The 22393-nt window shown below is 42.8% G+C and overlaps 1 long non-coding RNA gene, 1 other non-coding gene and 1 pseudogene across 2 annotated transcripts in view; all 3 read left to right on the forward strand.

Annotated features, from left to right (window-relative positions):
* SNHG31 (small nucleolar RNA host gene 31) overlaps positions 1–22393 on the forward strand; it is a 153377-nt gene that overhangs the window by 24528 nt on the left and 106456 nt on the right. The window lies entirely within an intron of this gene.
* On the forward strand, positions 12191–12325 carry SNORA70I (small nucleolar RNA, H/ACA box 70I). Its single transcript, NR_145773.1, has one exon. It is a non-coding gene; the product is annotated as a small nucleolar RNA, H/ACA box 70I (small nucleolar RNA).
* Positions 12381–12746, forward strand: RPL10P6 (ribosomal protein L10 pseudogene 6; annotated as a pseudogene).

Below are 22393 nucleotides of genomic sequence, written 5' to 3' on the forward strand. Positions count from 1 at the left end.
TTCTATTCCACAAAACCGCCATTGTCATCATGGCCCATCACCAATGAGCCGCTGGGCACACCTCCCAGACGGGGTCGTGGCCGGGCAGAGGGGCTCCTCACTTCCCAGTAGGGGCGGCCGGGCAGAGGCGCCCCTCACCTCCTGGATAGGGCGGCTGGCCGGGCGGGGGGCTGTCCCCCCCACCTTCCTCCCGGACGGGGCGGCTGGCCGGGCAGAGGGGTCCTCACTTCCCAGTAGGGGCGGCCGGGCAGAGGCGCCCCTCACCTCCCGGACGGGGCGGCCGGCCGGAAGGGGGGCTGACCCCCCCACCTCCCTCCCGGACGGGGTGGCTGGCCGACCCCCCCCCCCGCCTCCCTCCCGGACGGGGCGGCTGGCCGGGCAGAGGGGCTCCTCACTTCCCAGTAGGGGCGGCCGGGCAGAGGTGCCCCTCACCTCCCGGACGGGGCGGCTGGCCAGGTGGGGGGCTGATCCCCCCACCTCCCTCCCGGATGGGGCGGCTGGCCGGGCGGGGGGTTGACCCCCCCCACCTCCCTCCCGGACGGGGCGGTTGGCCGGGCGGGGGGTTGACCCCCCCACCTCCCTCCCGGATGGGGCGGCTGGCCGGGCGGGGCTGACCCCCCCACCTCCCTCCCGGACGGGGCGGCTGGCCGGGCAGAGGGGCTCCTCACTTCCCAGTAGGGGCGGCCGGGCAGAGGAGCCCCTCACCTCCCGGACGGGGCGGCTGCCCGGGCGGGGGGCTGACCCCCTCCACCTCCCTCCCGGACGGGGTGGCTGCCGGGCGGAGACGCTCCTCACTTCCCAGACGGGGTGGTTGCCGGACGGAGGGGCTCCTCACTTCTCAGACGGGGTGGTTGCCAGGCAGAGGGTTTCCTCACTTCTCAGACGGAGCGGCCGGGCAGAGACGCTCCTCACCTCCCAGACAGGGTTGCGGCCCAGCAGAGGCGCTCCTCACATCCCAGACAGGGCGGTGGGGCAGAGGTGCTCCCCACATCTCAGACGATGGGCGGCCAGGCAGAGACGCTCCTCACTTCCTAGATGGGATGGCGGTGGGGAAGAGGCGCTCCTCGCTTCCTAGATGGGATGGCGGCCGGGCAGAGACGCTCCTCACTTTCCAGACTGGGCAGCCAGGCAGAGGGGCTCCTCATATCCCAGACGATGGGTGGCCAAGCAGAGACGCTCCTCACTTCCCAGACGGGGTGGCGGCCGGGCAGAGGCTGCAATCTCGGCTCTTTGGGAGGCCAAGGCAGGCGGCTGGGAGGTGGTTGTAGCGAGCCGAGATCACGCCGCTGCACTCCAGCCTGGACACCATTGAGCACTGAGTGAACGAGACTCCATCTGCAATCCCGGCACCTCGGGAGGCCGAGGCTGGCGGATCACTCGCGGTTAGGAGCTGGAGACCAGCCCGGCCAACACAGCGAAACCCCGTCTCCACCAAAAATAAAACGAAAACCAGTCAGGCGTGGCGGCGCGCGCCTGCAATCGCAGGCACTCGGCAGGCTGAGGCAGGAGAATCAGGCAGGGAGGTTGCAGTGAGCCGAGATGGCAGCAGTACCGTCCAGCTTTGGCTCGGCATCAGAGGGAGACCGTGGAGGGAGAGGGAGAGGGAGAGGGAGAGGGAGAGGGAGAGGGAGAGGGAGAGGGAGAGGGAGAGGGAGAGGGAGAGGGAGAGGGATCTTAAATAATGAGAGTCAGAAAAGATTATTAAGAATAGCATTTATTCCAGTGCAACACTTAAGGATAGCCATCCAGGAGACACAACTCCAAACAAATGAGATCAGTGTTTTAAAGTGGGAAAGGTAAAGTTTCATTTATATAGGCAGAAAGAGAAATTTTAGCAGGTTACATGCTTCATATGAGACCAGTGCATATGTTACAGTGATTTCATTGGTTATAGATTGCTACATTCTAAGGAAGATTACTTTATTATTTCCTAAGGATGGGTGGACAGTGATCTGAGGGACTCTAATCTCTGGCACTCTTTGGTCATAATTATTTACAGGAAAAAAAAAAGTCAGAAGTTGCAGCTGCATGCCTTGTGACTCAGACTGCATAGCCACATCTCTCTCAAAGCTCAGAATAATTTGAAGTTCCAACAGCCTTAAGTTTTAATTTCTTAATTTCACAGACTCTAGAGATCAGTGCAATTCAACTGTAAGAAATAATAAGTAAAACCTTTTCCCCTAATTAATTAAAAGATAATGGTGGATTTAATTCATTTTCATTGAAAATGAAGAGATGAGTTATTTTAATATCACATTTTAGCTCTTGGGGCAGAGAGAAAAAATATTTTAAGTTATATAGACAAATAAAATGCTCTATAGTGCAAAAGTAAGAAAAACATAGAAGATTCCCCTGAGACAAAAGATTTTGAAAAAGATTACAAGAAAAATTATTGCAAGACATAGGTATTGTTTTATTCTTAAAGAAATATGCTTTCTTACTTTATGAAACTAGTCTGAAACTGTAAATCTACATGGAAGTATACTGAATGCAGCAACTTAGAGAGAGATCCAGGCATTATGAATAAAGGGTGTCCAGATTTGCCTTGAATGCCAATGGATGTTAAGTTGGTAAAACTTAACTAATAATAGCAATAGCATTTATGTAATACTTTGTAGACATTTTCAGATACATTATCTCGTTTAGTTTCCAAAGTAATTGTTGGGAAAATCAGAATACATGCAGCATTATTTTACTGATAGAGAGAGGTTGGGGCAGGCCCAAAGTCACTTAATATTAAACTGCAATAAGTAAAATCCTTCTTCCTGCAGCTTAACATCACTTTATTTGGGAACAAAGTCTCTCATTCCACCAGAGTATCTTGGCTTAGCCTGAATACCCCAGGAGACTTAACACATTGATTTACATTTGCACTAAGATGGAAATGAGCAATTAATGATCCTTTTCTGTGGGAAGACTTTGGGAAAGGGTAATGGAAAGGGTCAGGAGCCCACAACCCTTGAAAAGGTGGATGCCTTTAAGAAGAGGAGGTTGCAGGAAGGAAGTAGGAACCCCTGAAGGGAAATCTCTCTTTATTTGCAGGTCTTGGGAGGCCACTCTCTCCTTAATTTAAGCTATGGTAGTGAATATCATATATGAAAGTATATTTATGTTCTTGAAATCTTTAATCTGTGTTGATTCTTTGAAATAATGAATTAAGGCATAGTTTAAATTTGCTAAGTGATGTTTAACCTAAGATGTGAAGAGTAGGAGGTAGCCAGTTAAAGAGGAGGGGGTAGCAGCATATTCCAGGAAGAAGCAGCAGTATATGCCAAGGCCAGAGGCAAGAGATGGTATGATCCATTTTATTACTGTGTTCCAGAATAATCCACTGAAATATGAATTTGTGTTTTGTTTGCACAGCTTAGGCATGTGAGAAACACAAGAGATATTTATTTTTCTCTCTCATACCCCTTTGTCTCAGTTCAGCTTTAGGGTGAATGGAGATCTGGGGCTTGTCTTACAGAGTTAAGAAAAGTTTGTAAAAGAACACAGTCCAGCAAAGGAGATGGGCTTTGGGACTCTAAGATCAGGAACCAGACATGACAAAAACTGAAAAAGGTTCCAGATCTTGAAGGGTTGGTGATTAGAGGTTCTGGAAGCAGCAAATTTGTACTCCATCTCCTCATGGCATCCCAGGGAGGTGTCAGGGGCTCCAAGAATGACTGGACCCAACTACCAAAGCTGCCACCCTCCAAAAGGATGTCAGTGCATGAGCGTGTTACCAGCACAGGGGAAGCAAACTTACCTCTACCCATCTTGAGGTTTTCTTTTTTTGAGACACTGTCTCTCTCTGTCACCCAGGCTGGAGTGCAGTGGCGCGATCTCAGCTCACTGCAACCTCCACCTCCCAGGTTCAAGCAATTCTCCTGTTTCAGCCTCCTGGAGTAGCTGGGACTACAGCCACATGCCACCACACCTGGCTAATTTTTGTATTTTTTTTAGTAGAGATGGAGTTTCACCATGGTCAGACTGGTGTTGAACTCCTGACCTTTGGTGATCCACCTGCCTTGGCCTCCCGAAGTGCTGGGATTACAGGTGTGAACCACCGCACCTGGCCACCCATCATGGGTTTTTAGCTGGGACTCATTAACCAAAAAGACAGATTAAGAAGAGAAAAACAGTTTATTATAATGCATGCAATGCACATCACACAGGAGAAACCTCAACAGAGTAACTCAAATCAGTGGCTTAGAACTCTGGCTGATACACCATCTTCAAACAAAGAACAACAAATTTGTCAAGAAATGACAGGACAAAGAAAAGTGGTTTTAGGCTTCCAAGGGTGGCAAACAGTAGGAAGGTAAAAATATGTGAGGAAATGAATGAAGTAAGGTTTGTTTGCAGATTTCTCTGGTGTTATCTCTAGGCTGGTTTAAGTGTCTAGAGCTGTTTCTGGTAAAGGAGAATTTATATCTTTCCTTTAGGCAGGAAAGGGGGAGGGTAGAGGGAGCTTTTCCTGCATTTGCTGCTGCTTAATTACCTTCAGCTCAAAATAATTTTTATGTAAATTAGGCATATTTTGGGGTGACATATTCTGGTTCCCTTCACCAGCAAAGCCTCCTTCCAAAGGAAATTGAGACTTGGAATATAAGCTGTACCCTGGGTGGGCCAAAGATAAGACCCAGTGAATCTAAGAAAGATGGAGATGGGATTGAGAGGGGGATATATGTTTTGTTTTTCTTAGAAGCATGCAATTGCTATAAATACTCATGTCTTCATCCATTTGTGTTGCTATAAAAGAATACCTGAAGCTGGTACTTTGTGAAGAAAGGAGGTTTATTTGACTCATGGTTCTTCAGGCTGTACAAAAATCATGGCACCAGCATCTTCTTCTAGTGAGGGCTTCTGGCCGCTTCTGCTTATGGTGTGTAGAGATCACATGTCAAGAGAGGAAGTGAGATGGAGAAGAGGAGGTGCCAGGCTCTTTTCAACAATCAGTTCTTGCGAGAACTGAGAGTGAAAACTCACTTACTGAACTCAAGAATAGCACCAACCCATTTATGAGAAATCTGTGCCCATGATCCAGACACTTTCCAGCAGGCCCCAGCTCCAGCATTGGGGATCAAATTTCAACATGACACTTTTAACAAACCTTATCCAAACTATAGCATTTCTCCCCTGGGCTCCCAAATCTTATGTCCTTCCCACATTGCAATCATTCTGTCCCAATGGTTCCCACAAGTGTTAACATATTCCAGTACCAACCCAAAAGTCCAAAATCTCTTCTGAGACTCAAAGCAAGCTGTAAGTCTGTAAAATCAAAATCAAGTTACATACTCTCAAGATACAATAGTGCAACAGACATTGGGTAAACATTCCCTTTCCAAAAGGGATAATTTGACCAAAAGAAAGGGGTAACAGGCCTCAGGCAAATCTGAAACCCAGCAGGGCAGACATTAAACCTTAAAGACCCAAAATAATCTTTGACTTCATGTCCCATAGCCACACTAGTTCATTGGGTGGGCTCCCAAGGCCTTAGGCAGCCCTGGCCCAATGGCTTTGCCAGGCATAATCCATGTGGCCACTCTCACTGTTAGAATCCAATGCCTGTAGCTTTTCCAGGCTAAGATTGTAGGCTACTGGTGGCTCTACCATTCTGGAACCTGGAGGACAGCAGTACTGTTTCATGGGCGTCCGTGTGAAGAGACCACCAAACAGGCTTTGTGTGAGCAACATGGCTGTTTATTTCACCTGGGTGCAGGCGGGCTGAGTCCGAAAAGAGAGTCAGCAAAGGGAGATAAGGGTGGGGCCGTTTTATAGGATTTGGGTAGGTAAAGGAAAATTACAGTCAAAGGGGGTTTGTTCTCTGGCGGGCAGGAGTGGGGGTCACAAGGTGCTCAGTGGGGGTGCTTTTTGAGCCAGGATGAGCCAGGAAAAGGACTTTCACAAGGTAATGTCATCAGTTAAGGCAAGGACCAGCCATTTACACTTCTTTTGTGGTGGAATGTCATCAGTTAAGGTGTGGCCAGGGCATATTCACTTCTTTTGTGATTCTTCAGTTATTTCAGGCCATCTGGGCGTATACGTGCAAGTCACAGGGGATGCGATAGCTTGACTTGGGCTCAGAGGCCTGACATACTGGTCCCACACTGCCCTAGTAGAGGCCCTCTGCAGTGGCTGTGCCCCTGTGGCAGACTTCTGCCTGGGCACCTGGGCTATCTGATAGGTCCTATGAAATTGAGGTAGAAGCTACCAAACCTCCACTACTCTTAAATTTTGCATACTTGCAGAGTTAATATCACATGTAAGCTTCCAAGGCTTATGGCTTGCACTGTCTGGAGTGGCAGCTAGAGCAGTATCTGGGGCCCTTTCAACCATGGCTAGAGTCAGAGTAGCTGGTATGCAGGAAGCAGCAACCTAAGGTGGCATCTGGCAGTGGTGCCCCAGGTGTGTACCCCAAACAATTCTGTCCTCCTAGGCCTCTGGGCCTGTGATGGGAGGGGCTGCCTCAAATATTTCTGAAGTGGCTTTTGGGCCTTTTTCCCACTGATTTGACTAGAAGCACCCAGCTACCTTTTATCTGTGCTGATCTCTCCAGCAAGTGGTTGCTTGTTAACACCCTTGGATTTTTCTCTTGAAAATGCTCCTTTTGTTCTCTACCACATGGCAAGACTGCAAATTTTTCAAATTTTTATGCTCTGCTTCTCATTTAATTATAAATTCAAACTCCACGTCATTCCTTTTCTCCCACATCTGATCATAAGCTGTTGAAAGCAGCCACATCACTTCTTAAACACTTTGCTGCTTAGAAATCTCTCTTGCTGGATACTGTAGATTGCCACTCTAGGGCATGCATGCAATGCATCCAAATTATTTGCTATATTGTAACTAAGGTGACCTTTGCTTCAGTTCTTAACAGTTTCTACATTTCCACCTGAGACCTCATCAGCACAGCCTTAAATGTTTATATGTCTTTCAGCATTTTGGTCACAACCATTTAACCAGTGTCTAAGAAGTTCCAAACTTTTTCTTATCTTTCTATTTCTTCTGAGCCCTCCAACCTTTTCCAACCTCTGCTCATTACCCAGTTCCAAAGCTTCTTCCACATTTTCAGGTATCTTAATAGCAACACCTGACTCCTGGGACCAAATTTATGTCTCAGTACATCTGTGTTGCTATAAAGGAATATCTAAGGCTGGGTACATTATAAAGAAAAAAGGTTTATTTGGCTTGTGATTCTTAAGGCTGTACAAGAAGTATGGTTCCAGTATCTGCTTCTGGTGTGGGCTTCAGGCTCCTCCTGCTCATGGTATGTAGAGATTGTATGGTAAGAGAGAGAGCAAGAGATAGGAGGAGGTACCCGGCTCTTTTCAACATCCTATTCTTGTGGGAACTAAGAATGAGAACTCACTCACTCTCCCAACAATGGCACTAAGCCATTCATGAGAGATCTCCCCCTACAATCCAGACACCTCCTATCAGGCCCCAGCTCCAACACTAAGGATCAGATTTTAACATGAGACTTGGCGGAGCCAAGCAAAGCCTATCCAAACTATAGCAGCTCACTTGGGAGATGTCAGTTGCTTAGCTGAGACTCAGAGATCCTAAGACTCTGAGGTCTGGTCCGAGCCTTTAGAATGTGAATGGCTCATACTTACTCTCCTCTCCAGAATTTGTGGGATTTCTGAAGGTTTCAGGATTATTATTTCCTACACATTCATACATTTAGAATTAGAAGTACAGGCCAAGTGTGGTGGCTCATACCTTTAATCCCAGCATTTTGGGAGGCTAAGGTGGGAGGATCACTTTAACCCAGGAGTTTGAGAGCAGTCTGGGTGATATGGTTTGGCTCTGTGTCCCCACCCAAATCTCATCTCTAATTGTAATCCCCATGTGTTGGGGAAGGGGCATGGTGGGAGGTATTTGAATCATGGGAGTGGGCCTTCCCCTTGCTGTTCTCGTGATAGTGAGTTGTCACAATATCTGGTTGAAAGTGTGTGGCACTTCACTATTTATTCTCTCTCTCTCCTGCTTCAGCGTGGGAAGATGTGCCTTGCTTTTCCTTCGCCTTCCTCCATGATCATAAGTTTCCTGAGGCCTCCCAGTTATGCTTCCTGTTAAGCCCGCAGAACTGTGAGTCAGTTAAACCTCGTTTCTTCGTAAATTACCCAGTCACAGGTAGTTCTTTATAGCAATTGTGAAAATGGACTAATACACTGGGCAACATAGCAAGAACTTGTCTCTATTTAAAAAATGAGCCAGGCCTGGTGGTGCATGCCTATAAGACCCAGCTGCTCAGACTGAGGCAGGAGGATCCCTTTAGCCCAGAAGTTTGAGACTGCAGTGAGCTATGATCACATAACTGCACTTCAGCCTGGGCAAAAGAGCAAGATCCTGCCTCAAAATAAATAAATAAATAAATAAATAAAAGAAGGAGAAGGAAAGAAAAAGAAAAAGATTAGAAAAATCCATGCTCACAATGATTTGATAAGTTCCATATTTTTTATAGTCACAAGTAACAGAAACTCATGTAAAGATAGGCCATACAAAAGTAAAACCTGATGGAGTTCAGGAAATACTACCCCTAAACATGACACCTTAGCATTTGAGAAATCAGCAGAAGGAAAATCACCTTTACCTTCCACTCACCCTTCTCTGCTGAAGCAGGTCATAAAACCTGGAAAAGTCACCCTCTGACCTTCTTTCACTATTCTCCCCTGCAGCAGATCATAAGACCTTCATTTCTGAGGTACCCTTTCTATACCTAGAGCAAAGGAACATATTTACCTCTGAAGCACAGACATTCAGAAAAGAATCTGTACAAACAGCCTTTGCTAAGTTCTCCCCAGTTTATTACCATTAGATCATACCCCTTTTTGTTCCAGTCATATTTGCCTATGACGGTACACTCATCATCAAACCTAAGCATAAAAATACACACGTTTACCTGTTTCTTTGAGTCTTCATTTCCTTACAAAGTTTCCTGTGTTACATAAAACTTATATTAAATCATTTGTGTGTTTTTCTCTTGTTAATGTGTCTTATGTTATAGGACCCTCAGCCATGAACCTAGCAATGGATGAGGAAAAGAAATCTTTTCTCCCCCTAAACATTTATCATGTAAAACGAAAACAAGAGGTAACACTCATATGCAGAGCACAAGCTCTTTTCCAAGTACCATCCTAAGTGATTTAGCTAGATTAAGTTCCATGATCTTTTTAACAATCCTATAGGTAGATGCTGTTTTTATAACAAGTATGACTGTTGGCAAGGGAAGGATAGTGGATGAAGAAATGCAAACACTGATTAGGCAACATTTTCCATCAGGAGAGAAAATGACACTGAGCAGTGGTGAAGTAAGCTAAAGGTAATTGCTAGACCCAAATCAAATGCTATCATAAGAGAAGAAAAAAATCTATTATTTGTAACAAAGGTAAAACTAGCCACAGAACAACTTTTCGCCAGAGAGAGAACAGATGAAATGGACTTATTTTTGCCCCCTACCTGTCTGGGAGTCAGTTGCTTTTTGTGTATAAGGCTTTTTTGGCATTATCTCTCATGGGCTCTCATTGAACAATTAGGGCTTACTGAGAGATGACTTTCAGCATTACTGTCAGGTGGCTGTACCAGCCTGAACTCAGCCATCATTTGGGCCTCCCGTTGATTATAACAAACCAAAACACTGTGCAGTTGGAAATTGTAGGTACTGTTGTTCAATATAATCTACTGTCTATTTTACAGCAAAATTATCACAAAAAGCATTCAGTAAATTAACTAGTTTGACTGCCAGGAGATTCTAGTATTATTGTATTTTTCCCACCAGGGCACCCAGGGGAGTTTGCTCATCTGTAATATTATTATTATAATCATATTATTTCCAGTGTTTTATTGCCAATGTCATGGCTGACCTTTGGCAAAATTGCAAAGTATCCAAAGTTCATTTTAAGAGTTCTTTTCATGCATACCTTCCCCCATCTTTTTGAGAAAGGCTGCATTGTATTCAGCCTCAGGAATGCTCAGATATTCATTGAACCTCACTGGAATTAATGAAGTGTACTTCATAATATCGTTGAACACCAAAAAACATGTCCCCAGGCTTCAGCCGATCTTCCCATCACTAAATCCACTCATAAATTCCCAGTCCTTATTTGATCTGACATATCAGCAAACCTTTAAAAAACATGTGATCACATCCTTTTTTATATACCATATTTTTTGGTCCCATTAGCCTCCTGGATATCCCATTTCCTGGGTTTTCTTCGTATCTCACTGATAGAATTTTTAAAATCTCGTTTGTCTGTTCCTCTCCTTTCCAGCTTTTAACATTGGAGGGGTCCAGTGCTCAGGCATTGGTCCTCTTCTCTTTCTCTCTACATTTACTTTTTGGGTGATCTCATTTGGTCTTATTGCTTGAAATATCATCATATGACAATGAGTCCCAAATTTATATCTCCTGTGTGAGCCTTCCTCCTGAGCACTAGACTCATGCACACAGACTGCCTACTTGAAAGCTTGTCTTGAATATTTACTAGGTATCTCAAACTTAAGCTGACCAAAATTGAATTCCGTATCTTCCCCAGAAAATTTGTTCTTCCTGAAGTCTTTTTCCATCTCACTTGAAAGAAACTTGATCATTCCAGTTAATTCAGGCAAAAGCTTTGGAGACATCCTGGACTCCATCTTTCTCTCATCACACATCCAACTTCACACCTCTAACTTCAAAATACATCCAAAATTCAATCACACTTGACCACATCCAATTACCTCCAGTGTGTTAAAAGACAAATCTTGGCACGTTAAAATTTTTTAAAGTTTATTTGAACAGACGACAATTCACAAATGGGGCAGCTCAAGACTGCAAGCAATTTGGGGCTCCAACAAATGGGCATAAGGGGAAGGCTTTTAAAGGGTAGACGACGCCGGGCACGGTGGCTCATGCCTGTAATCCCAGCACTTTGGGAGGCTGAGGCGCTAGGATCGCAAGTTCAAGAGATCGAGACCATCTTGGCCAACATGGTGAAACCCTGTCTCTACTAAAAATACAAAATTTAGCCAGGCATGGTGGCATGTGCCAGTGGTCCCAGCTACTCTGGAGCCTGGGGCAGGAGAATCACTTGAACTTGGGAGGCGGAGGTTGCAGTGAGCCCAGATAGTGCCACTACCCTCCAATCTGGTGACAGAGTGAGACTCTGTCTCACAAAAAAAAAAAAAAAAAGGTAAATGAGGAAGCAGGGTAAAAAAATTGATTGGTTAAAGTGATCTAGTTAGAAGTTAGTTAGATGGTTTCAGTTGGTTATGCATAAGTAATAGAATGTTCTTCTTATATATATATCTATCATATATACATGTGTATATAGGTATAAGTAATAGAATGTTCTAATGAGGACTTAGACTCATTATACCCACTGTGAGATAGACTTGAGATAGGAAACCCATTTGTTACCTTGCCTCCATACAGCCACACTCTAACAGGGGCCATCATGACCTTATGTGTCCTCCTAATGTCAGTGTCATCTTTTTCTCTATTTTCAGAAGCCCTTGAAAGATCTGTATTATCCTTTCTCCAGTGTACAGTTAATAAGATGAAAGGCCCAAGGTTCTTTTGATTAAGATTAGATGTTAGTTGACAGTTTCAGATTGGTTAAGAGTGTTTACACTGAAGTAGGTTTTGGTTTGCTTAAGTGGGAATCCATGGTGCTGGAGCTGCCTCATTCTAATGGCCTCCCAATTTCTTATTGGTGCTTCCACCTTCATTCATACATCATCATCTCTTGCCTGGATTATTGCAATAACTTGGTAAATATTGTCCTTGTTTTTACCTTTATCCACTCTCTTGGTTTAGGTTCCTCCAATAGCAGATCCTGAACAAGGATTTCAGTGTAACTTATTTAGGAGGTGATCTCAGGGAGCATTGTAGAGAGTAGTGCAGAGATAGGAGTAAGGAGAAAAGCCCATTAAAGATTTAGTGTTAATGAGGTGGTTACTATTGTAGACAGCCAGGCTCGATCTTGCTAGGGAACCTCTGAGAGACTGAGTAGAACATGTCTCTGAATTGTGACACCAAGGGGCACAAGAAACTTGAGACAGGGAACCCAAGTGATAGAATATCTCCCATATCTAAAGAGAACTGAAGCACTGTGCCTTTTTCTTTAATATAGGAGGTGCATGGTGTAATAACTTGTCCTTTACATTGAAGGAATGTCCTAGCTTGCCTCAAAACATGGACTATAAAAATGTCACTAATGTTCTGCAGCCAATTAAGCCAACTGAGTTCCTTTCCTTGTGGGGGCCCAGTGTGCAATGGCTGCACACAGCAGCTTCCTTGGTAGTGTACACAGCCTGTTGGTTGTATGGGTTGCTCTGAGGGACCTTGGAGACAGGCCTTTCCAATGGATGTTCATGTTTCTGACCTTGCGCTACCCCAATGTAGGCTCCAAACAGGCATGCGAGGTGCCTTTGGAATGCCCCAGGGCACTGTGGCCAGGGTTCACATTGGCCAAGTTATCATGTCCATCCGCACCAAGCTGCAGAACAAGGAGCATGTGATTGAGGCCCTGCGCAGGGCCAAGTTCAAGCTTCCTGGCCACCAGAAGATCCACATCTCAAAGAAGTGGGGCTTCACCAAGTTCAATGCTGATGAATTTGAAGACATGGTGGCTGAGAAGTGGCTCATCCCAGATGGCTGTGGGGTCAAGTACATCCCCAATCGTGGCCCTCTGGACAAGTGGCGGGCCCTGCACTCATGAGGGCTTCCAATGTGCTGCCCCCCTCTTAATACTCACCAATAAATTCTACTTCCTGTCAAAAAAATGTCACTAATGTACCCTAAATTTTCTTTTTTATTTTTATTTTTTATTTATTTATTTATTTTTTTGAGATGGTGTCTTGCTCTTTTGCCCAGACTGGAGTGAAGTAGCATGATCTTGGCTTACTGCAACCTCCACCCCCCAGGTTCACCCTGTGATTCTCCTGCCTCGCCCCCTGAGTAGCTGGGATTACAGGTGCCCACCACCAGGCCTGGCTAATTTTTATATTTTTAGTAGAGACTAAATTTTCTATGGTTTATCCACCTTGCAGTTCACATATGGCTTGTCAGAACATCTGGAGCATTTGCTACTTCATGCTCACTAGTTTGATTAATATAATGTCATTTAACTCGTGGACCAGCAGATTCTGTGCAGTGTCCCTTTAGACTCTATTGCAACAGAAAGCAGCAGAGTTAACATAGACCTGGGGCAACTCTCTGAACTTGCACTGCTGTCCAATCAGGTAAATGCTAAGGGCTTTCAGTCCTTTCTCCTGATAACAACTTTAAAAAATTCATTTTCCAGTTTCATAGCAGCTGTGTTGATTTGTTCTGTTAGCAGTACTACATACAACATAGCAGCTATGATTAACACTACCACTTGGTCAGTTTTATGGTAAGTCCACTATTGTTTGCTGTGATCACCCTGATTTTTGTAGGGGCCATATCAGTGAATTAAATGGGAATATGATGGGGTCCATCATTCATCAATCTTTTAGACTTTGAAGATGGCACAAGTCTCTGCCATTCCAAATGACCTATAGATTGCTTTTGATTTATTATTTTGGCCAGGTTGCAACGGTGATTTCAGAAACTTGCACTTGGCTTTTTCTACCACTGTGGCACTTATCTAGCTGGTGAAGGAACTAATGTGAGGCTTCTGCCAGCTACTAGGAATATCCAATTTTGCATTTATAACTAGGAAAATATTCATCTTGAAGGCCTTAGACTCATTAGACCCACTGTGAGATAGACTTGAGATAGGACACCCATTTGTCACCTTGCCTCCGTAGAGCCACACTCTAACAGGGGCCATCATCACCTATGTGTCCTCCTAATATCAGCGTCATCTTTTTCTCTATTTTCAGAAGCCCTTGAAAGATCTGTATTATCCTTTCTCCAGTGTACAGTTAAGAAGATGAAAGGCCCAAGATTCTTTTGATTAAGGATTAGTGAAATATTTATTTCATATACTTGCTATAGCATTGCAAAGACCTTTTGAAGGGGAACCTGACCTCTTCTTTCTCAATTGATGAGCTGTATGACTAAGAATTGGCTCAGATCTAGACAGCAGATAAGGGAGCATGATTTTCCATTGCAATGGCCATTGCAGTGGCCGACGCCAACCATTTGCTTTCCAGCTCTTGATTATTTATGTTTATAGAAATCAAGGAATAACCTTTATTAGTTGCTAATTTATTTAACCCCAAGGAACACCCTGGTCAGTTTGCCATTACCACAGACCCCTGTGGGTCAAGTTTCCTTGGTGACATTATGGCCTGTGTCTGTTACAGTAATTGTGTCAGGCTTACCTCTGATAGTTAAGTGGTGCCACCTGGCCTCTGTTATTTCAGAATCTTATAACATCTCCATTATCACTAGGAAGCTCAATTTTATAGCCATCTCCTCTCCTATCAACCCTGGTCTAGAGATGACATCTATCATCATTCATTTTTAAATGATGCCAGCACTCCCTCGTTAGTGCATTCCTTGTAGTTTTAGGGGAGTGCCTACCCAGGTCCTTCCAGGTAAGAATCAGCTAGTGTGTTCTCAGGTCTTATGAAATGAGCCCAAGTCTTTAAGACCCCTTCCTCAATACTCTGCCAAGGCAGTGCTGGCATCTCCACTATAGACCATCCTTATTTCCAGACTTCAAGGAGCCAGCCAGCAGTGTATTAGAACTGACTCCAGGCAACCTTGTCAAGGTATTATCATCTAAGTCTCAGGAGACTGTCCGATATCAATGAATTCCCTATATTCTGTCCCACCTCAACCCTCATTCCCCATTCAACACTCTCAGCTTATATATATATGTATGTGTGTGTGTGTATATATGTATATATATATATATATATATATATATATATATATATATATATATATCTCACATATACTCTGCTGGTTCTTGCTAATACCCACTATCCAGGTTCTGAGACTTTGGGGGTAAATTATCTATTTACTTAAATAACAGGGACAGTAATTCCCCACTTGAACCATGCTGAGACCTGACCCCAGTCATTTGTCTAAAAGCAATGAGAGGAGGTGAAAGGAGATCTTGAGGAGGGCAAACATTGTTTTGTGAAGCCCCAGGAGAGATTTTTCAGTGGTCCTCAGGCAATGGGATGCAACAGGGAGAGGGTTGCCCATACCAGCCAGAGATGCTGAAGAGTTAATGCCAGTAGTATTAATACAATTCTCAGCAAATAAGGGAAGGGGTTGCTTGGGACTCACCTCTTAATGGCACAGTTCTGAGGTGTATTATACACATTCTCTCAGAAAGGCCACAGCAACACTGAACTCTGTTTTCTGAAAATGGTTACCAGTTGATAATGGTGCTGAATAAGCGATATACATATGCATGGCATTCCGGGCACCTGTGCTAAGCATTTTCTAAGAATCACTCCTTTTATTCTCCCAAGGAAGGAAGGAAAGTCAATAAAAAGTATATTACCACCAGATATTTCCTCCTAAACACAGAAAATGAAGATGATTTTCTTTTTTTTTTTTTTTTGAGATGACGTCTCGCTGTGTCACCCAGGCAGGAGTGCAAGCTCCACCTCCCAGGTTCATGCCATTCTCCTGCCTCAGCCTCCTGAGTAGCTGGGACTACAGGCGCCCACCACCACGCCCGGCTAATTTTTTTTTTTTTTTTAATTTTTAGTAGAGACGGGGTTTCACTGTGTTAGCCAGGATGGTCTCAATCTCCTGACCTCGTGATCTGCCCGCCTCAGCCTCCCGAAGTGCTGGGATTACAGGCGTGAGCCACCACACCTGGCCTGAAGATGATTTTCAAAATGGCTTTGGGTTTATTTACATTTATTTTTGAAAATAGTATTTCATAATCTTGTTTTTACTTTTAATTTGAAGATTTAAGCTAGTCTGTAATCTCTTAAAGTGCTGGGTTCTATGAATCCTTGTCTGTGCAACAGCTAGCCCTTAACCTGGTTCATTGTTGATTTGAGGAACAAGATGTGGGAAGGTAGATGTTAGAAAGGCAAGATCATTTATTTCAAGTTATATGTGGAATTTTAAAATATTTTAATTGACCACGTTAAAATTCTATTATAAATAAAATACATATTTTATGTACTAGTATTTGAAAAATTATCAATTCAAAAATATTTATTGATAATCTGCTATTTGCCCCAAAATGTGATATAAAATATTAATTAGATACAAAATATTAATTCTTACAATCTGTGTCAGTGGAAGTTTCCAAGGTAGTTAATTCTATTTCTTTCTTTCTTTGTTCTCCTTCATAACATCATTCTAATAGAGAAATGATCCATTCTCAAGAGATTTGCCACAGAATTTTTTCTAGAGAAATGTCCCCATATCTGTGATAGAAGTTCCAGAAATTATGAAAGAAAAATTGCCTACTGAGAGTTTTAGTTTTTGTTGTTACATGTTCATAAATTGTATTTTACCAGATGGTTGTCCCTCATGGGACACCACTGAGTTATACAGGAGAGCATTGATGTTTTCTACCTCTGTTCTCCATTAGCTGCAAAAACTTGCCCCTTCACAGACTCCATGAGGGGAAAGATACCACAGAAAGAGACTGCATACTATTTTACTTTTCCTTGGACTCTGAAAGTCGAACTTTAGCAAAGTAAACTTACCAAAGACATAGTTAAGATAAATGAATGTGTCCAAAGCAAATCGGAAAAGGGTGGAAGATTGCTCATCAAATGCTTTAAAAGAAGTCCTAGCTATAATTCGTTTCTTGGCCTTGGATGGCCTCTCAGGAAGTGGTGTGTTGGAGCCAGTTCTTACCTGCTCTTGCTGGTCACATGCATCTCTTCCCAGCTCTTCATTCGGTGACATCAAAATTAGTAGGCTGAAATTAGCCATAGGTGAGAAGTATTTACACCATGGAGATCTAGCAAATGTTACAAACTCTGACCTTTTTTTCCAATTCTTAGACATTTACTAGCACACCACTGAGACCCATTATTTACCAAGTATGAGTGGTTTTGGTCCCTTGAAACCAAAAAACTTACTGACAAGAATCAGAGTTCTAGTTACTTATCACTTGGCCAAGTTACTTATTCTCTGCAAAGCCCATTTCCTCATCTGCAAAAAAGAAAGGATGATACCACTCTATTTACTCATCTACATTATTTTATTGTGAAAAACTCAGAATATAATAATTTTATGAGAATATTTTAAAGCTATAAGGCACCCTATAAACAAATGATGAAACAGGGATTGATGGCTGTATTTCTGAAGCATTATATTTCTCATGGGGTATATTAGCCTTGCCTCTTTAGAGAAACAGAACTAATAGGAGATATATATATATATATATATATATATATATATATATATATATATGTATTTATTGTGAAAAATTGGCTCATGTGTTTATGGAATCTGAGATGTCCTATAACCTGCCATCTGCAAGCTGGAGGCCCAGGAAAGCTGGTGGTGTAGTTCCAGTCTAAGCCTTGGAGTCTGAGAACCAGGGACCCAATGGTGTTAGTCTCAGTTTAAATTTGAAAGGCTGGAAAAGAAGGAATGCTGATGTCTAAGGGCAGGAGGAAACAGATAACTCCAGCTCAAGCACAGAGTGAATTCTTTCTTCCTCCACTAATTTGTTCTAGTTGGTCTGTCAAGGGATTGGATGATGCCTGCTGGCATTGGTAAGGGCAATTTTCTTTACTCAGTTGACTGATTCAAATGCTCATCTCTTCCAGAAACACCCTTACAGACACACCCAGAAAAATGTTTTAACAGCTATCTGGACACCCCTTAGAGAAGTCAAGTTGACACATAAAGTTAACCATCACATGGGGTAACTCAATTACCTGGCAGACAACTTGTTCTGAGTTCCTCCCACAAACAAAAAAAAAACAGAACAACTGCCATGAAGGCATTAATTGGAAATGTAAGATTTAACATTGATTTTATAACAGAGCTGGAGGAGTTTTACTTTATATGTCACTTAGCCAACAATTCAATAATACTGTCTTAGAAGTTTGTCTTTTCCCCAAAGCCTGTTAGATTGGGCTCTTCTTTATGGAAATTTGCCTCTCTCAGCTCCTAAGCTCTTCCCCTCCCTTCATATTATTCAAATTAGCTTTTTACCAATAAAACTTGGAGGCCAACAGGAAGCTTCTTTGGACTTTACTACTGACATCTCTCTAACAAATCTGTGTGTTTTCTTGTGATGGGATTCTCCTAACAGCTACTGAAAAACATGTTCTCTAGTTACTATATGTTCCCTTGAGAAAATATTGGCTATCCTGACAAATCAATTATACTAACTCTCTCCCTTTAGGTCGAATGAATGGAAGAAAAACACAAGGCTTATGTGTGGTTCTCAAGTCTTATTCAACTCAGGGCTCAGCCACTCCTCCTAAGATGGGCAAATATGTAGATACAGGAAATATTTTCACCTCTTTTTGTTGGGCATCTTCCCCACCATGATCCTTCCCAGTCTGGAGAATATGGAATGCATAATAAGTTTTTATTGGTTCATCACAGGTATCCCCTGGGACACAAAGTTGTCTGGGAGAGTAGGTGCAAAGCCTAGGCTGGATCTTCAATTACCCCACACCCAGGACTCTTGTCTCCATGATCCCCTCCTTAATCCTCATTTCTGTTGTCTCTGAGGGTCATGGTCTTCTTATACCAGCTCCTACCTCAATTTCTGGAAGACTAGGGTAGAGTTTGCCTCACAGATATGCTCTACTTTGAGATGCCTATCCTTCCCACAGTAGAAACAAATCCTGATGTTAACTTTCCGCAGAGTCCCCAGTACTCCTTCATTTCTCTTTTTTTTTTTTTCGAGATGGAATCTCACTCTGTTGCCCAGGCTGGAGTGCAGTGGTGCAATCTAGCTCACTGCAAGCTCCGCCTCCCGGGTTCACACCATTCTCCTGCCTTAGCCTCCCAAGTAGCTGGGACTATAGGTGCCCACCACTACGCCCAGCTAATTTTTTGTATTTTTTAGTAGAGACGGGGTTTCACCGTGTTAGCCAGGATGGTCTCGATCTCCTGACGTCGTGATCTGCCCGTCTTCGCCTCCCAAAGTGCTGGGATTATTTTTCTTGGAAAACCAGGTATTTGTGTCTCCCTAAAATTCATAATTTGATATCCTAACCTCTTATTTGATGATATTAGGACATGGAGCCTTTGGGAGGTAATTAGTCATGAATGGGACTAGTGCTTTTAAGAGAAGAGATATGAGAGCTTATTCTCTGCTCTCCAACATGTGAGGACACAGCAGGAAGATGGCCATTTGCAAACCAGGAAGCAAACCCTCACTAGGACCGGATCTGTCAGCACCTCGACCTTGGACTTTTCAGCCTTCAAAACTGTGGGGAATAAATGTTCATTGTTTAAGCTACCCAGTCTATGATAATTTGTTATGGCAACACAAGTGAAGATACCAGGAAACTGGTTCTTAGTGTTTACCTATCCTGTCAGTGAATAGCCAGGACTACACTACTTGAACATTAGTGAGTAAAGCAAACCAGGTCTGAAGCTTTTTCTGTGCATCCTTCTGGGGCTTGCTTTTCCTCTCTTTCAGAAATCTTGTGGGGAATTGGACTGGAGCTAGGAGAATGAATCATAACATGCAACCCTTGTTCCCCAAGTCTGGACTAGTAATTCTCTATGCAAACTACTTTTTTGGTTTTATAATGGAAAAGCAGCCAGAACTCTCCCTTTCTCTTTGTCCTTCTAAATTACCTTCATTAATAGTGAAATTTTGGCAGACTTCTTTCCCACATTGCTTCTGCTGCTTAGGGAATCTGAGCTTCCTCAGAAAAATTTCACTATACTTCTGCAACTACTGTCTTAGTCCATTTTGTGCTGCTATGAAAGAATACCTGAGACTTGGTCATTTATAATAAACAGAAATTGGTTTTGGGTTCTGAAGGCTGGGAAGGCTAAAATCAAGGGGCTAGTATCTGGTGAGGGCCTTCTTGCTATGTCATCCCATGGTGGAAGGGCCAAGAGAAGGTGAGAGAGAGCAAGAGATCAAACTTACAGCTTCAAGCCGTTTAATAATCAGCATTAATCCATTCATACAGGTGGAGCTTTCAAGACCTAAACACCTGCCATTAGGTCCCACCTCCCAGAACTGTTGCGTTAGGGATTGAGTTTCCACTTCAAGCTTTTTGGGGAACACATTAAAACCATAGCAACTCTCCACAGCTATTGGGATTATCTTTCTGACTTTGTCTCATAGCATCTGGGTTTGAATCCATATTGACAGTCTCTCTAGTTCTGGTACATGGGCTGAGGTCTTGTTTCCTTCTTCTAATTGCATAGTCAGAATTGGCATACCAGTCCTGGGAAATTCCTGTATTCCTGGATATCTGTATCCCCAGATACCTGTTTGAAGTAGTAGGAGGCATTTCAGGCCTTGAGATCTTTAACAATTCTGAATGCCAGGCCTTGAAATTCTTATTTTAATCAAAAAACCATTCCTTCAGTCCCTGTCCTAGGTGCCTTGAATATGCTTGTATTTTCAGTAACATATAGCTTTGGCTTAATAGATAATTGCTGTATAGTCCTATTTCAGCTGCTGAAGAACAGAAAATATTAGATTACCAATCTCATTATAGTTTCCATGATCATTATAGTTTCCAAATTGTGGAATTTGGAAGGGTGTTCTAAGAACTGACAGTCTCCTTGAACTCTTCATTGTGAGGAGTTTAGAGTTTATCTGGAGAGGGTACACTTCTGACTCATTTCCATGAAAGCATCAGGTCTCATGGAATAGTCACAGAAGAAAAGAACTCAGAAACAGAAACATTCTGTTCCAGCTTTAGCTTTATAACTAATTAAATGGTGTAACTAAAAACAAGCCACTTAACATTTTGTGTCTCATTTTCCTCATATATCAAAAGAAAAATAATAACAACTAGATTTGTTGTGAGACAGAATTCAATAAGGGGAAAGTGCTTTGAAAAATATGAAACTGTACCAGAGTAAGGTAATTTTATTATTTTATAGCCTAAGTTGCTTTGGTCTTCCAATTTTAGTTGAAATTGTACAATTGAAGATGAAACATCAATTTCATAGAGGGAATATAGCAGAATGAATAGTAGTAGAAAGATCAATTTAATCTAGACTTCATATTTTTATTATGTGAAATCACTTAAAAAGTAACAGCATCTTTACTCATAATTTTAGTGTAAGAAAGAAAATGTATTGCAGCAATTGCAAAGAACAGGGCCATTAATTTTATTAAATTTTTGACATCATTTAAATGTGCTCCAAAAAGGGTTATGTTTGTTTCATGCTACAGAAATGATAAACTCAAATGATAACATCACATAAGCAAAATCTAAAAGGGGGAACCTCTCTTAAAAAATATTAGTACTGTTAAAAGATCTTTATAAATTTGCCTGTGATCTGTTACAAGGTACAAGAACATCAAGTAATAGTTTTTATATTTATAATTCATTATGATTAGATAATTTTTAATTCAGTTTTTAATTTTTTCTAAGTACACATTTCAACTGAATTTTTAACCTCTCCCCCTTCCTGGTTGTTGCCACAAGTTTGGAAGCCTGCAGTCAAGGTGGTGATTCAGCAACTCTTCTGCTTGCTTAAAATGATTTGAATTCCATTCACAATCACCAGGGTGAACAATCACAGTATAAAGAAATCCCCAAACAATCTTGTTTTCAGGCAGCCTTCCCATCTTAATGCCTTGTATCACTGGGATCAGAACACCTCCTCAGAGCAGCGTGGGCACGTTGTGCTATGCCAGAGTTTTTCTGTCAGGCAGGATATGCAAACAGTGTGTTTTTCCAAGTGAAATATACCGTTGTTTCCAAGTTTGGTGGAAGAATGAAGTGAATAAGAAAATTTAATATGTTTATAGTTCTTTTATGTCTTAAAAAATGAAGAAATTAGGCTTTATTAGTAACAAAACACCTTTTGACACTGGTGTCCTCACGTAATAACCAGTGCAGCATTTCATATATTTCGGACCTGAAAACACACATACAACAAAGGGAGAGTGCTCATATATTTTTATATTAATAGATAGGGCCATGCTGCCGGCATATTTGGAGTTCACTTGTTCAGAGCACTAGGAAACTTACTTGATGAATGGTGAGAGTACATAGAAACCTACACTTCTAATTTCTCCCCTTTTCCCTTTCCTGTCATCCAGGTTCTCAAAATTCTGAGCAATTCAGCTTTGTATATGACATTCAGCAAAACAAAAGGCCTGTAGTTAACTTACTCTACCCTCTTGAGGAGATATTTCAGGGACCATCTCATTCTTTTTTCTTTTTTTTTGAGAAGCAGTCTCGCTCTGTCGCCCAGGCTGGAGTGTGCAGTGGCGCAATCTGGGCTCACTGCAAGCTCCGTCTCCCAGGTTCATGCCATTCTCCTGCCTCAGCCTCCCGAGTAGCTGGGACTATAGGCGCCAGCCACCACACCCGACTAATATGC

The sequence above is a fragment of the Homo sapiens genome, chromosome 2 (genome assembly GCF_000001405.40).
Source record: "Homo sapiens chromosome 2, GRCh38.p14 Primary Assembly".
Taxonomy (NCBI): Eukaryota; Metazoa; Chordata; class Mammalia; order Primates; family Hominidae; genus Homo; species Homo sapiens.